At 42.0% G+C, this 16,708-nt stretch overlaps 1 protein-coding gene across 1 annotated transcript in view, besides 3 other annotated features; it reads right to left on the reverse strand.

Moving 5' to 3' along the window:
- The window catches only part of AQR (aquarius intron-binding spliceosomal factor), a 117,961-nt gene extending 102,103 nt beyond the window's left edge, over nucleotides 1-15,858 (reverse strand). The window contains exons 1-3 of the mRNA NM_014691.3: nucleotides 15,655-15,858; nucleotides 10,350-10,406; nucleotides 6,890-6,930 (exon numbers count right to left, since the gene is read on the reverse strand). Coding sequence (NP_055506.1) covers nucleotides 6,890-6,930; nucleotides 10,350-10,406; nucleotides 15,655-15,729 — 173 coding nt within the window. The 5' untranslated portion in view covers nucleotides 15,730-15,858. The remainder of the gene's footprint in view (nucleotides 1-6,889; nucleotides 6,931-10,349; nucleotides 10,407-15,654) is intronic.
- Nucleotides 13,919-14,483: an enhancer, noted in NCBI's record as "H3K4me1 hESC enhancer chr15:35260004-35260568 (GRCh37/hg19 assembly coordinates)". NCBI's record gives its function as "activates a minimal SCP1, AML or CMV promoter by ChIP-STARR-seq in naive H9 embryonic stem cells {active_cell/tissue: H9 hESC(naive)}" and the evidence as "EXISTENCE:reporter gene assay evidence [ECO:0000049][PMID:30033119]".
- Nucleotides 15,652-15,801: an enhancer, noted in NCBI's record as "active region_9183". NCBI's record gives its function as "activates an Ori minimal core promoter by ATAC-STARR-seq in GM12878 lymphoblastoid cells {active_cell/tissue: GM12878}" and the evidence as "EXISTENCE:reporter gene assay evidence [ECO:0000049][PMID:35858748]".
- Nucleotides 15,852-15,961: an enhancer, noted in NCBI's record as "active region_9184". NCBI's record gives its function as "activates an Ori minimal core promoter by ATAC-STARR-seq in GM12878 lymphoblastoid cells {active_cell/tissue: GM12878}" and the evidence as "EXISTENCE:reporter gene assay evidence [ECO:0000049][PMID:35858748]".

A 16,708-nucleotide genomic window follows, 5' to 3' on the forward strand; every position in this document is an offset into this window, starting at 1 on the left:
CTTTGACAATGTCTTTTAAACATTTTGTTTATTTTTTTCTTTTTTACTGAGACAGAGTCTTGCTCCATCGCCCACACTAGAGTGCAGTGGCACGATCTCGGTACACTGCAACCTCCGCCTCCCAGGCTCAAGCAATTCTTGTGCCTCAGACTCTTGAGTAGCTGGGATTACAGTCACGTGCCACCACACCTGGCAAATGTTTTGTATTTTTAGTAGAGATAGGGGTTTCCCCATGTTGTCCAGGTTGGTCTCGAACTCCTGAGCTCAGGTGATCCACCCACCTCAGCCTCCAAAAATGCTAGGATTACAGGCGTGAGCTACCACACCTGACGTCTTTTAAACATTCTGCAATTCAGTTTCCTCATGTATAAAAATGGTAGAGCAGCCAACTTTCCTTTATGATAACTAGACAAGTGAAAAATAAGTCTTTTTTTTTTTCTGAGGCAGAGCTTGCTCTATTGCCCAGGCTAGAGTACAGTGGCACAAACATAGCTCACTGTAGTCTCAATCTCCCAGGCTCAAGCAATCCTCCCACTTCAGCCTCTCAAGTAGCTGAGACTACAGGCATGTGCTACCACGTCCAGCTAATTTTTTTGATTTTTAGTAGAGATGAAGTCTCACTATGTTGCCCAGACTGGTTTCAAACTCCTGGGCTCAAGTAATCCTCCCACCTCAGCCTCCCAAAGTGCTGGGATTACAGGCATGAGCCACCATGCCTGGCCTTGAAAAATAACTCTTGGTAAGTCAAAATAAAGCAAAAGCAGTCTGAAAAACATTCAATTCCTCTTCTAGCAATCTCAGTGGTATTTATTAAATTTGGAGTTTTATACTTTTGCCAATGAACTCTCTGAGACAGATAAAGTGAACAGCTTAACTGAAAGTGTACTTGTAAGATTAAAAAAAACAGGTCTATGAACTAGACACCATGTCAGAAGAATTTTAAAGATAAGTATGGAAGGCCGGGCATGGTGGCTCACGCCTGTAATCCTAAACTTTGGGAGGCCAAGGAGGGTGGACTGCCTGAGCTCAGGGGTTCGAGACCAGCATGGACAACACGGTGGAATCCCGTCTCTACTAAAATACAAAAAATTAGCCAGGTGTGGTGGTGTGTGCCTGTAGTTCCAGGTACTCAGGAGGCTGAGACAGGAGAATTGCTTGAACCCAGGAGGCGGAGGTTGCAGTGGGCTGAGATTGCGCCACTGCACTCCAGCCCAGGTGACAGAGTGAGTCTCCGTCTCAAAATAATAAATAAATAAATAATAAGTATGAAAAGTTACAAACAATAATCACAAATATAAATAATTTGAAGGATATTTGGATGGTTATTTTTTTAAGTTACCAATATTTACTGAGAGCATGCATTATGCCTGACACTGTGCCAAGGACTTAACGTGCATTTCATTAAATCCTTCCAAAGTTGAATAATTTATGTATGATAAACTGGATCTATTACTGTATCATTAAATATGATAAGAAAAAGAGAAGGGGCCACACAAATGAGAGTTCTTTTCTATTACATTCCCCCCTATCCCAACAACCTCCTCTTTTCAGACGACTATGTGAAATACGAGGTCTGGAGCTGTGGCAGCCCCACCACAACCATACGGAAAAAATCAATAAAACCTTTTGACAAGATTGACAAGGGCCTTGACATTATTAACTTCTGAGCTACCTACTTCCAGATCTGTTAAGCAGATGATTAAAACAACAAGTAATAACAGTGAACAAAAGAAGCCAGCTACGCCAGGCACAGTGGCTCACGTCTGTAATCCCAGCACTTTGGGAGGCCGAGGCATACAGATTACCTGAGGTCAGGAGTTAGAGACCAGCCTGGCCAACATGGCGAAACCCCGTCTCTACTAAAAATACAAAAAATTAGCTAGGCGTGGTGGCGGGCACCTGTAATCCCAACTTCTAGGGAGGCTGAGGCAGGAGAATCATTCGAAGCTGGGAGGCGGAGGTTGCAGTGAGCCGAGATCATGCCACTGCACTCCAGCCTGGTGACAACAGCGAAACTCCATCTCAAAAAAAAAAAAAAAAATGAAGCCAGCCACAAAAGAGTACATAGTGTGTGATTCTATTTATTTATTTAAAGTTGAAAAAGAACCAAAATTATAGTGTTCTTGTTTGCATACTTACATATTATAATGATAAAAAAAAGAAACAAGCAGAGAGCTTCTGGAACACCGACAATGTTCGTGGAGTTTTTCAGCCTAGGTGGTGGTTATGAATTATTACTATAATTCGTAAGGCTATACATTTGTTTCATGCTGTTTTCTGTGTTACATTTCATAATAAAAGAGTCCATACATTTCAAATAAAAATAAGCACTTTGGGAAAAGTAAATTACTCTGTAAATCACCCTTTTTGAAAGCATAAAAACCACTTAGTTGGTTCATAACAGGATTAAACATCATACCGGAGTGTACTAGTTAAGAGGTTTCTAGAAGGCAAAGGACTCTTATTTAAGAACAGAGTATTCAAGGCCGGGTGTGGTGGCTCACACCTGTAATCCCAGCACTTTGGGAGGCCGAGGTGGGCGGATCACCTGAGGTCAGGAGTTCGAGACTAGCCTGGCCAACATGGTGAAACACTTTCTCTACTAAAACTACAAAAAATTAGCAAGGCATGGTGGCACATGCTTGTAATCCCAGCTACTCAGGAGGCTGAGGCAGGAGAATCGCTGGAACCCAGGAGGCGGAGGTGGCAGTGAGCTGAGATTGCGCCACTGCACTCCAGCCTGGGGCAATAAGGGTGAAACTCCATCTCAAAAAAATAAAAGAACAGAACAGAATATTCAGTAAGAAGTCAGAAAAAAAAAAAAAAAAAAAAGAACCAGGGAACCAGGATTCAATACCTGGTGTGCCTCTAAATACTGGGAAACATCTTGGGCAAGTTATTTAACCTATCCACTTCAGTTTCCTCATCCATAAAATGAGGACAATAATAGTGTTACAGGGTTGTTGTGGGAATAAATGAGCTAGATGCTTAGAGCAGAATGCAAGGTGCTTACAGCAGAATCTGGCACATAGTAAGCACTTAACTATTATTTTTCAAATATTTTTAAAATCAAACTTGGATGAAGAATTCATTAAGATAAGCCTGCCAAATCTGATAATGGCAAGAACAGCAAATATGAATCAATTGTGTAATGTACCATACAGTAACATGGCTGTTACATCAAGCCATTCCCCCAATACTGAAAATGCCGTGAGCACATAGCTCAGCAAAATAATTTCCTCAGGACCTAGCCTAAAAAACTGGTCATTTAAATTTTTTTTTTCTTTTTTCAGACGGAGTCTTGCTCTGTCGCCCAGGCTGGAGTAGAGTGGCACAATTTCAGCTCACTGCAACCTCCACCTCCCGGGTTCAAGCGATTCTCCTGCCTCAGTCTCTCGAGTAGCTGGGATTACAGATGCGTGCCACCACACCCAGCTGATTTTTGTATTTTTAGTAGAGACGGGGTTTCACCATGTTAAATTTTTAAATACATACTATAGTTTATGTGTTACAGAAGTGTACTTGGAAATAAAAAATGTAGGCCAGGCGTGGTGGCTCACACCTGTAATCCCAGCACTTTGGGAGGCCGAGGCAAGCGGATCACCTGAGTTCGGGAGTGACAGCCTGACAAACGTGGAGAAACCCCGTCTCTACTAAAAATATAAAATTAGCCAGGCGTGGTGGAGCATGCCTGTAATCCCTGCTACTCGGGAGGCTGAGGCAGGAGAATCACTTGAACCTGGGAGGTGGAGGTTGCGGTGAGCCGAGACTGCACCATTGCACTCCAGCCTGGGCAACAAGATCGAAACTCCGTCTCAAAAAAACATAAAAAAAACATAAAAATAATAATAATAATAATAATAAAACAAAAAACATAAACATGAAAAAACATAAAACATAAAAAAACATAAAAAACAAAAAAATTAAAAAATAATAATAAAAAACGTGTCCAAGATAAGAAAACGACTGTTAAAAGTGCCAAGATAAATCTTAGCCATGCCAAAGACAGCTACTTCTTTCAGAACTAAGAATAACATAGCGGTGGCCGGGCGCAGTGGCTCACGCCTGTAATCCCAGCACTTTGGGAGGCTGAGGCGGGCGATCACAAGGTCGGGAGATCGAGACCATCCTGGCTAACATGGTGAAACCCTGTCTCTACTAAAAATACAAAAAATTAGCCGGGCGTGGTGGCGGGCGCCTGTAATCCCAGCTACTAGGGAGGCTGAGGCAGGGGAATGGCGTGGACCCGGGAGGCAGAGCTTGCAGTGAGCCGAGATCATGCCACTGCACTCCAGCCTGGCGACAGAGCAAGACTCCGTCTCAAAAAATAAAAAAGAATAACGGTAGGGGCTGGGTGTGGTGGCTAATTCCTATAATCCCAGCACTTTGGGCGGTCAAAGTGGGCAGACTGCTTGAGCTCAGGAGTGAGAGCAGCCTGGGCAACATGGAGAAACCCTGTTTCTACCAAAAATACAAAAAGAATTAGCTGGGCATGGTGGTTTGTGCCTGTGGTGCCAGCTACTCGGGAGGCTAAGGTTGGGGGATCACTTGAGCCCAGGAGGCAGAGGTTGCAATGAGCTGAGATCACACCACTGCACTCAAACCTGGGTGAAAGAGAGCAACCCTGTCACACATTGTGCAATGGCGCAATCTCGGCTACACAGAAGAGAGCTACATATAAAAAGCAGCCAAATGTATATGGCTTAAAAATCATTAGCAGCTTTTGGTTGTTATAAAAAATCACCTCTGAAGAAGAAATATTAATAGCAAGGGTTTAAATGAAAAAATAAACAATCACTTTCCACTGGAGTGAAAATCTATTCTGAAGATTCAAAATAATTTTCAAACTAGTATAACCTTAATATAGAAGAAAAAATGATACCAGAATTAATCCACCCACTCATCTTTAGTTTTCTCAAGAAATTTCATTCATACTCACCTTCAGACCATATGTTACAAATCTGCTCAAATGTCCTACTTTCAGAGAGAATTTGCCTAATTATTCTGAAATACCAGCCCTTGTCTCTATCCTCTAACCACACTTTAATTCACAGCATTTACTGTCTCCTGACATTACATTACATATAGATATATAGATATAGATATAGATATAGATATAGATATAGATATAGATATAGATATATAGATATCTGTCTGTCCGTCTGTCTGACCTACTAGAATGTAAGCTCCAGGAGAGCAGGGATCGTATCTCCCCTCTTTTCTGTTGTACTGTTAGCATCGAAAAGGTGGCTAATACAAAGTAGGCTCAACTCAGTCTCTTTTTGTTGTTTGTTTTGAGACAGGGTCTCACTCTGTTGCCCAGGCTAGAGTGCAGTGGCACAACTGTGGCTCACTGAACCCTTAACCTCCTGGGCTCAGGTGATCCTCCCACTTCATCCTCTTGAGTAACTGGGACTACAGCCATACGCCACCATGTCCAGCTAATTTTTTGTGTTTTTTCTGGACACAGGGTTTTGCCATGTTGCTCAGGCTGGTCCTGAACTACTTACTGGGCTTGAACAATCCACCCACCTCGGCCTCCCAAGGTGCTGGGATTACAGGCATGAGCCACCATGCCCAGCCAACCCAATCTCTTTTGAGCTATACACCTGGATATCCAACTGCCTATTCCATATCTCCATCTTCATAGCTCTTAAGTAGCTAGAATTCAATATATCCAAAAGTGAAATAAAGATCTACACCCAATCCTACCCCCAACAACGTGGCAAAAGTCAGTAATGGCATCACTAATCACTCAGCAACTTAAGCAAAAAATTTTAGGATCATCTTTGATTCTTCCTTTTCCTACATCTGCCACATCCAAACATCAAGTCTCTCCACCTCTATCTTTCTCAAATGGACAATTCCGCTCCCAACTTTCCACACAAGCCAAATCTATGACATCTTGAAGCTGACTACTACAATGCTCACCTAATTAATTCCCTGCCTCTTGCTCCCTCCAAATCCAAATTCTTGCTGGGTGCAGTGGCTAATGCCTGTAATCCCAGCACTTTGGAAGGCCAAGGCAGGTGGATCACTTGGGGCCAGCAGTTTGAGACTAGCCTGGCCAACATGGTGAAACCCTGTCTCAAAAAAAGAAAAAAAACAAACAAACCCAAATTCTCTTTTTCAAATACCACTGTGCTTACAACTCTTCTTACTTCCTACTGTTTTCCAAATAAAGAACAAAATCCTGAAGATGGCCTTTGACCCATTTAGTCAAATATCCTTTTAAAATACTCACTGGACATACATGTCTGCAGGTGTATATACAAAAAGATGCCTAAGACACGCTGTTAAATTTTTTAAAAGAAGCATGATGAAAAATAGCATGTAGAGTACAAACCCTTTTGTGTTTGAAAAAACATGTGAAGGCGTGGGGAATAGAACAGATGTATATGAACCATATACATGAACCAGGGATTGGGGGCAGAAAAGATGATTTATTGAAACTCACCCCTTACAGCATATTGCTCAAAAATAATTTTTATCACTTCTGTGTTTATTATTATACATTTTATACATTACATATGTATACTATATTATTGTAAATTTAATAATGTCTTACTTTCATAACTTTTTAAGAATATTTTTAAAAGGTGAATCAGAAATAATACTAGTAATAAAATCTTCATGTTTACTTTTTCTCAAATTCCATCTAAATCCAAATAAACCCTATGGGATTTGATACCTCTAATCTGAGCCAAAAGTTAGAAGGCAAAAAATAATTTATGACTCTTCAGCACCTAAAGTTTTTCTAGTCACCATTGCCCTGACGACCAGTTTGAAACAGAAAAAGGGTTCAAGTTATGATCACATTTAGAAGTTCAGCCAAGATCCAACTTGGTCCACCCCAATCACATTGTATAAAATTTAAATTCATTCCTACCTTGATTTGACAATCTCTTTTTCATATATATCTTCAATAACCTGTTATAAAAATATAAAAATGTTTAATATCTCAACAACTTTTTTCAACCCTAAATTGACAGTTTTTAATGAGTGAGATTATATAAAATAAGTTGGTTTAGGAAAGCCATCAAATATTACTGCTATTGAAATAATGAGATATTTAAAATAATCCCATTATATTCCTCGAAATATGAAATTAACAGAAAGCAAAGTAGAAAAAACAAATAATAAAACAGAGCCCTAGATTCATTAAAATGATGTGCTTATAAAGATTTTTAGGGAAAATAAAAATTCACAAGATCAGGATTTTTTTTAAACTTAAAGTGTATAAATGTTATGAGACTCCATTTGAGAGTCATAACTGTGTGCCTGCAAAACCCAGAGAGAAAATAATTTAAAAGTGTGAAGACATAACAGACACAAATTCTAATTGTTACATCTCTTTATCCAAATGAATATGATAGAGCTTCAGAATTTCCATTCATTTGAGTGAGGGTGGGCAGAATGGTGTACTACTTAAGAATTCAGACTCTGGCCAGGCACGGTGGCTCACGACTGTAATCCGAGCACTTTGGGAGGCCGAAGAGGGTGGATCATGAGGTCAAGAGATCAAGACCATCCTGGCCAACATGGTGAAACCCTGTCTCTACTAAAAATACAAATATTAGCTGGGCGTGGTGGCGCACACCTGCAGTCCCAACTACTTCGGAGGCTGAGGCAGGAGAATCACTTGAACCCGGGAGGCGGAGGTTGCAGTGAGTCAAGATCGCGCCACTGCACTCCATCCAGCCTGGTGATAGAGCGAGACTCCATCTCAAAAAAAAAAAAAAAAAAAAAAGAATTCTGACTCTGGAACTGTACATCTCAAAAAAAAAAAAAAAAGAAAAAAAGAACTCAGACTCTCGAATTGGAAGACTGGTTCAAAACATCTGCCTTCACTACTGATGGCTGGAACTCTTAGGCAAGTGCCTGACCTCTCCAAGCCTCAGTTTCCTTACCCACAAAACAGATCTAATAACACAAACTACCACACAGGGTTACTGAAAATAAAATAAGACAGGGCATATAAACAATTAGTACAAATACTGGCATACAGTGAGCCTTCACTAACAGTTATCAATAGCAGCAGTAGTAGTGCTAGCATTAATAATAGTAAAAAAAAATACTACTGTAAAATTATGAAGTGCTTTAACATGCTATAATATTATTGTATGGTAACTATAATGTCTTTTTTTTTTTTTTTTGAGATGGGGTCTCACTCTGTCACCTAGGGTGGAGTGTAGCAGTGCAATCACAGCTCATTGCAACGTCTGCCTTCCAGTCTCAACTATCCTCCAGCCGCAGCCTCCCAAATAGCTGGGACCACAGGCATACACCACCATACCCACCTAATTTTTTGTATTTTTGGTAGAGATGGGGTTTCACCATGTTGCCCAGGTTGGTCTTGAACTCCTGAAGTCAAGTGACCTACCGCCTCAGCCTCCCAAAGTGCTGGGATTACAGTCATGAGCCATGGTACCTAGCCTATAATATCTTTTAATTGCTCCAAGTACATTTGTGAAATAAGTATTTGTGAGTGGTAAAGGGAGGGAGGCGATAAGGAAAACAAGTCTTGTTCAATCTAGATGAAATGCTCTGTTATTGTTTTCATCAAATTTCAAATTAAATAATAAAATAAAGATTACTGGTTGGCCGGGTGTGGTGGCTCAAGCCTGTAATCCCACCACTTTGGGAGGCCAAGGTGGGCAGATCACCTGAAGTTAGGAGTTTGAGACCAGCCTGGCCAACATGGTAAAACCCCGTCTCTACTAAAAATACAAAAATTAGCAGGGCGTGGTGGCGTGCATCTGTAATCCCAGCTACTCAGGAGGCTGAGGCAGAAGAATCGCTTGAACCCAGGAGGTGGAGGCTGCAGTGAGCCAGAATCGTGCCATTACACTCCAAACTGGGTGACAAGAGCGAGACTCCACCTCCAAAAAAAAAAAATAAATAAAAGATTACTGGCAAAAACAAATATATATTCGTAAGAATTTAAGTTCAAATAAAGTAAGAAATTTTGGGTAAAAAGTTCAGTTTTACCAACAGTGCCTAAAGCATCACCATTAAATTTATAATGGCAAAGCTTAAGAGTCTTCATTACTTGTTGAATGGTATGCAGTGTCAACATCTATTTCATTTAAAGACCTCACTCTCTTTAAGGGACAGGGTCTCATTCTGTTGCCCAGGCTGGAGTGCAGTGGCCTGATTACAGCTCACTGCAGCCTCAAGCTCCTGGGCTCAGTCAGTCATCCTCCCGCTTCAGCTTCCAGAGCAATTGATACTACATGTGTGAGCCACTGCACAAGCCAATTTTTTTAATTTTTTTGTAAAGGCGAGATCTCACTACTGTCCAGTCTAGTCTCAAACTCCTGGCTTCAGGTGATCTTCCCTCTTTGATCTCCCAAAGCACTAGGATTATACGCATGAGCCACCACACCTGGCCTTAGACCTCTCTTTAAGAACCTAATCCAATGAGAATTAACCCTATATTTGGGAATTTGTCATATTATTTGTTCTAAATTGCTTCAGTTGGACTTATTCAATTGAATAAGTTCAATTCCCTTATTGAATATTACTGGACTTAAGTTATTACACTATACAACTGCTGCTCCTTCCATCTTTATTATAGACCTTTACCTCATTCACCACTCTAAAAACAAGATAACCCAACAGATTTAATCCTAAATGAACTATCAAAAACTTGTACAAAAATTTCTGTATATTTACAAAGATATTTATTACATGATCATTTATAATAATGATAAATTAAAAATAACCTAAGAATCTATAAACAGAAAAACAGTTAAGTAAATTATACACGTACACTTTTTTTTTTTCTTTTTTTTGAGATGGAGTCTCGCTCTGTCATCCAGGCTGGAGTGCAGTGGTGCGATCTCGACTCACTGCACGCTCCGCCTCCCAGGTTCACGCCATTCTCCTGCCTCAGCCTCCCGAGTAGCTGGGACTACAGGCGCCCACCACCATGCCCGGCTAATTTTTTGTATTTTTAGTAGAGATGGGGTTTCACCGTGTTGGTCAGATGGTCTCGATCTCCTGACCTTGTGATCCACTGGCCTTGGCCTCCCAAAGTGCTGGGATTACAGGCGTGAGACACCGTGCCCAGCCACATACACATTTTTGTTAAGGCTTAAAGAAAATACAACAAAATGGTAAGAGAGGTTATCTCTGTGTAGTGATTATTTTCTTATGTGTAGTTTCTATGTCTTCCAAATTTCCTAACATAAATCATTGCTAAGTTTGATAAGCAAAAAATTGTATTTTTTGTAGATCGTTAGGTTGTTTTTAATTTTAAAAAAATTATGGAAAGCTTTTGTTGAAATAACCCTTTAAAAGGAGTGTAACTTCTCAAGAATTATGTTGAAACCAAAAATACTTACCTTTATATCAAAAGGTGATTTCTTCTTGATGTGGGGAGCCCAGTATTTACATGCTAACTGCAAAGTAAACAGTATAAACAGTAAGTCCCAGATTCTTGCCATTGTAGAGCTGGAAGACAGATCATTTAGTGATAAGCGGTTTCTTAACAAGGCCCTACTCGGCACTGGGGGACAGAGTATATCTGAAGGCACTACACAGGCATGCAGGCCAGTTGGCATCCTTGACCCCAAACCACTAAATGCCAGTAGTGCTTTGCACTACAACATGCCATTGTGATATAAACAAACAAACAAAATCCTCTCCAACCACCCTAGAGAAACAATACAGCTCAGTTAATAACCACAGAGCCAAACATCTTCAGCATGGCAATAAGGAAACCCTGGTCTAGAAAAAATAAGTGATCTGCCCAAGATTACAGTTAGTTAATAGTTGAGCAAGTATTACAAATGATACTCAAAATCTTCATGAATGCTTTCCTAAAATAATGAGCCTTTAAATGATTAGTTCACACCCATAACAAAACCTAAAAAAAAAAAAAATTGTAGTCTATCGGCTGCTTATTACAGAGAATATAAGAGCTGGCATATTTCAGCAGATTAGGCTTGACCTGTAAATTGTGAAATTTAAACAAATATATAACTCTCTCTACATATTTAAAGAAACAGCATAGTCTTATTCATAGGGTTTTGTTTTAAAACCCAATTATAATCTCTTTAAAAATAGAAAACTGGCAAGCACAAAGACTCAATATATTTATAAAAAGGTGACTACTCTGCAGTGTCTGGCATATCAGAGGCACTAATAAAGTCTGATGGATGAATGGATGGACAAATGAAGCAAAATCTGAAATGTTACTTCTGTGAGGCTGTCCTCAACACTACCTGATGGTGACAATTGCTTTCTCCTTCTCTTCATTTTGTATATAACTCTTTATAATCTTACCTTTCTATATTATAAATATTTGATTGCTTATCCATCTTTCCTTCTCATTTAATTGGAATACTTAAGAGATGGGACTTGTTTTCTTTGCTTTTATAGCTCAGTGATGAACACATACAACACACTTAAAGAGCCTCCCAGGCAGTTAGGACACTGGCCCTGAGGAATAGCCTCTAAAAATATTACAGTAACTTCCTACTTAAATGACACCTTCCGGCCAGGCATGGTGGCTCATGCCTGTAATCTCAGAACTTTGGGAGGCCGAGGCAGGCGGATCACCTGAGGTCAGGAGTTCAAGACCAGCCTGGCCAACATCGTGAAACCCCATCTCTACCAAAAACACAAAAATTAGCCAGGCTTGGTGGTGTGCACCTATAATTCCAGCTACTTGGGAGGCTGAGGCAGGAGAATTGCTTGAACCTGGGAGGTGGAGATTGCAGTGAGCCAACACCAAGCCACTGCACTCCAGCCTGGGCGACAGAGCAAGACTCCGTCTCTAAAATAAATAAATAAATAACACCTTCCCAAATTACCAATCACTCTCCAACTCAATAGAAAATCTTCACCTCACCCCCAGTTATTCTGTGGTGTCCTCATTTCCTCATTCTGCTCCCTATGGGCATCATAAATTCAGTCATCTTCTTCTTACATCATACCATTAAGAGAATTGAGTCTAACCTGTTATGATGGACTCAGGAAATTACAAATAAAAATGTATATCCTATCTCTGATCTAAACTGCTTACTGTACATCTGTACTTGATTAAAGATTAGCAAACATTTATTAAGCATCTATCATGTCTCTTCTCTGAGTTTCTCCTTTCCCTTGGGGTCTAACGTGTAATGTCTCAAATATCACGATCTCACAGTATATACACATTGCCCTCCCTCAAACTCTCTAGTCTCATGTAAAATAAAAACTTTCCATTCTCTACTTAGTACAGCTATGACAGTATAAACTGTTTAAAGTAAACCTTACTGAAAGACAAAAAAGGAAATAAAAATATAATGGTATAAAAAAGTGAGGTCACAAAGTTCAGATCTCCAATCTCCTTAAAACTAAATTTTAACCTCTTGATCTCATTCATTCAATAAATAATTTTAAAAGTACCTTTTCTGGCTAGGTATGCCAGATGCTCAGAAATTAAATTAAAAAGAAAGAAGAAGAAAACACCTAAGCCCAAGATGTCCCCTCTACCTAGAAAACCAATTCCCCCACTTTCCTCTCTGCATTTCAAAGTCCAACTCAAATGATACTTTCTCAATGAGAAAATTCTTCTTGGAAATTCTTTCCTTCAACAAAGTAATAATTTCATGCTCTTTTCTCAAAGCACTTCCCTTATACCCCAATCTGGCATTTCTCACATTAAACTACAGTGAGTTCTTTAAGTCTCTTAAAGTCTCCTTCCACAGACTGTGTGTTAGATTGTGAGAACATGTCTGTTTTATTCCCCATGTACTCCCAGCACCTGGTATTGTACTAGGCACACACTGTGTGATGACTATTTGTCAAATGGATACATAAGTGAATTAATGAACAAATATGCCAGATCATTAAGATGTAGTGTGAGAAAGGAAGGTTCTCAGCAATCTTGGGCCATGGGAACAAACATTAATGTCTAATATTTGCCAGATACTGTTTAGGCTCTTCTAGAGTGCAAAGAAAGGTAATCTTTGCCTTCAAGGCCACCCTGGCCTTTTTTTTTTTTTTTTTTTTTTTTTGAGATGGAGTTCGCTCTTGTTGCCCAGGCTGAAGTACAATGGCGTGATCTCAGCTCACTGCAACCTCTGCCTCCTGGGTTCAAGTGATTCTCCTGCCTCAGCCTCCTGAGTAGCTGGGATTACAGGCATGCACCACCACGTCCGGCTAATTTTGTATTTTTAGTAGAGACAGGGTTTCTCCATATTGGCCAGGCTGGTCTCGAACTCCCGACCTCAGGTGATCCGTCCACCTCAGCCTCCCAAAGTGCTGGGATTACAGGTGTAATCCCACTGCGAGCCACAAGCCACCGCACCCGGCCCACCCTGGCCTTCTTTACATTCACACCTTAAGGTGTGTGTACTTGCTATTTCCTTGCTCTTCTCAAAACTGGCTCCTTCTTTGCATTCAGGTGTTAGCTCAAATGTCACCTCGGAGAGAACTTTCCTGACTGTCTTTCATACACCTCAAACCAGTCTGTCACAGCCCTGTTTCATTTTCCTCATAGCATTTATCAGTGTATGAAACTATACCGTTCATCTGTCTGGTTCTTCCCTCTAAAATGTGAGTTCCATGACAGAAGTAAACTAATAAATGACTTCTACTGCAAAAATGCAGGTATATGGGGAAAGAGACCTCTAATCTCGTTTAAGTTGTCAGGAAAAGCCTCTCTAAAGTAGTGTAGAAGGCTGAGAATGAATAAAGGAAGGTGGGGAGAAAAAAAATGAGGATTCCTAGCAGAGGAACAATGTTGAAAAGCCAGGAGATGAAAGATAGCATGGCACATTCAAATAAACGAAGTTCTGTACAGCTAAGGCACAGAGTTAGAAAGGAAGAGGAAAAAGAGGAAACTGAAGATATAAGCACAGGTCAAATCACACAACACTATGAAGGATTTCAGCCGTTAACCTAAGGGTAATTAGAATTCTTTAAAGATTTCTTTTTTTTTGCTTCGTTTTTAGACGGAGTTTTGCTCTTGTTGCCCAGGCTGGAGTGCAATGGTGCGATCTTGGCTCATTGCAACCTCCGCCTCCCGGGTTCAAGCAATTCTCCTGCCTCAGCCTCCCGAGTAGCTGGGATTACAGGCATGCACCACCAAGCCTGCCTACTTTTGTATTTTTAGTAGAGACAGGGTTTCTCCATGTTGGTCAGGCTGGTCTCGAACTCCCGACCTCAGGTGATCGACCTGCCACGGCCTCCCAAAGTGCTGGGATTACAGGCATGAGCCATCGCGCCCGGCTGAAGATTTTAAGGACAGCCAGCCTTAGTGTAGTCCCTGTAGTCCTAGCTACAAGGGAGGCTGAGGTGGAAGGCTCACTGGAGCCCAGCCAACATAGTGAGACCCTATCTTGAAAGAAGAAAAGGAAGGAAAGGAAGGAAGAGATTTTTTTTTTTTTTTGAGACGGAGTCTCGCACTGTTGCCCAGGCTGGAGTGCAGTGGCGCGATCTCGGCTCACTGCAAGCTCCGCCTCCCGGGTTCACGCCATTCTCCTGCCTCAGCCTCCCGAGTAGCTGGGACCAAAGGCACCTGCCACCATGCCCGGCTAATTTTTTTTCTTTTTATTTTTAGTAGAGACGGGGTTTCACCGTGTTAGCCAGGATGGTCTCGATCTCCTGACCTCGTGATCCGCCCGCCTCGGCCTCCCAAAGTGCTGGGATTACAGGCGTGAGCCCCTGCGCCCGGCCGGAAGGCAGAAATTTTAAGAAGGCAAGTGATATGATGAGATTTGCACTTGTATGAAATCACTCGGAAAGCAACATGAAGAATGGGCTAGAGCAGAGCAAGAGGAAGGACAATATAACAGATTACGATACCTTGGTCCAGGCAGAAAACAATGGCAACCAAGCTTAGGGTGACAGAGATGTAGAACACCAGATAGATTCAAAAGATATTTAGAATGTAGAAATGTAGGGACTAAGGGAAAGGGAGGATTCAAAATCACTCCCTAGGCTTCTGCCCTGGCAAATCTGTTGAGACAAGGAATAAAGAATAAAGAAGCAGGTGGGCATGATAACTTCTACATTGAACTACTTACACTCTTATGCAATTCACAAATAAATAATAAGAATGAGGAATGATGCTGACAACCACAGGACTGTGGTTCCCTATCCAAAGCCAACTGTGGCTCACAATGCAAGATAGTAAACAGATTCTAAATGAACGCTCTCAAACTACAGAATTACTCTGTTTTTAGATAGGTCTATTTGGAGGTGTCTTGTCAGTTTCTCATCGCTGCTCAAAAACTCAGGACACTCTAAGGACCAGGAAAAAGCCTACTCCTACTTGAAGAGGCAGTCCAGCATCACTCTGCTGCGAAGCCTACTTGCCAGTCTCAGATAGACTGGGGTGTTCCCTCCTCTCTGAATCCATTGCTCCTGAGACAAACTCCAACACAGCAAAACTCATACAGTAGTTTTATTTTCATGCGTCTGTCTTCCTTGGGCCATGAACTCCCCAGGGCAGGGCAGCTTCTTTCACCACGGTATGCCCAGCACCTAGCATAGTGGCCGGCACGGAGCTGATACTCAGTAAAAAGACGTGTGTGAATCAATTAACAAACGAATGCCTCCTCCGGACTCCTAAATCCTGAAAAAAAACCCCACCACCAGGCCTCGGGGCCACGACGTCCATACCCACTCACACACACCAGACTCGCCCGAGCTCACCTGGGTCACGAACTCCGCATTGATTTGGGACACCGTAGGGGCCACGATCTTCTTGGGCTGCGCAGGGGCTGCCATGGCAGCACTCTTCCCTCCACTCCAGTGGAAACTAAAGGACCGCTCTGGGCAGCGGCAACCCTGGTCCACTTCCCTTAAGTTACTGCCGGGGCGCTTAACTCCGCGCCGCACAAACGCTCCGGGCCGGATATCCTCAGCCTTCAGAGTCCCGTAGGGAACCCGTACAACAGCCCAAGCGTTCCTCGGGAAGCGGAATGGCGTGTAGCCGGAAGTTCATGCAGGCGTTGGGGCTGAGCTAGCGAGCCAAGAGCTTTGACCTCCTCTGTACACGCCCTCTAGCGGGCGGCAGAGAGAAGACACCTCGCTGGCGGGATTAGGAGGGCAAGGGAGGGACCCGGTGGATGGTGTTGGGTGGGGTTTCTCGTGGTTAGTGAAGAGTGCCGTGTGCGGTGAATGGGGATTTAGTTTTTTTTCAACCCTAAAGAAAAAACAAAACAAAACAAAAAAAACAGCCTGGGAATATGGGCTGGGTTTTAACTGCCCTTAACAGTGTTTTAGTTTAGTTTTGTTTTTTTTGAGACGGAGTTTCGCTCTTGTTGCCCAGGCTGCAATGCAATGGTGCAATCTCGGCTCACAGCAACCTCTGCCTCCCGGGTTCAAGCGATTCTCCTGCCTCAGCCTCCCGTGTTGTTGGGATTACAGGCATGCGCCACCATGCACAGCTAATTTTTGTATTTTTAGTAGACACAGGGTTTCTCCGTATTGGTCAGGCTGGTCTCGAACTCACCAACTTTAGGTAATCCGCCTGCCTCAGGGTCCCAAAGTGCAGGGATTACAGGCCTTAACAGTTTTATGGAGGTAAAAATTGACATACAATAACCCAGCCAGGCGCGGTAGTCACGCCTGTAATCCCAGCGTTTTGGGAGGCTGAAGCTGGCCGATTGCCTGAGGTCAGGAGTTTGAGACCAGCCTGGCTAACATGGTGAAAACCCATCTCTACTAAAAAACAAAATTTAGCCGGGCGTGGTGGCGCGCGCCT

This window comes from Homo sapiens, chromosome 15 (genome assembly GCF_000001405.40).
Source record: "Homo sapiens chromosome 15, GRCh38.p14 Primary Assembly".
NCBI classification, from domain to species: domain Eukaryota; kingdom Metazoa; phylum Chordata; class Mammalia; order Primates; family Hominidae; genus Homo; species Homo sapiens.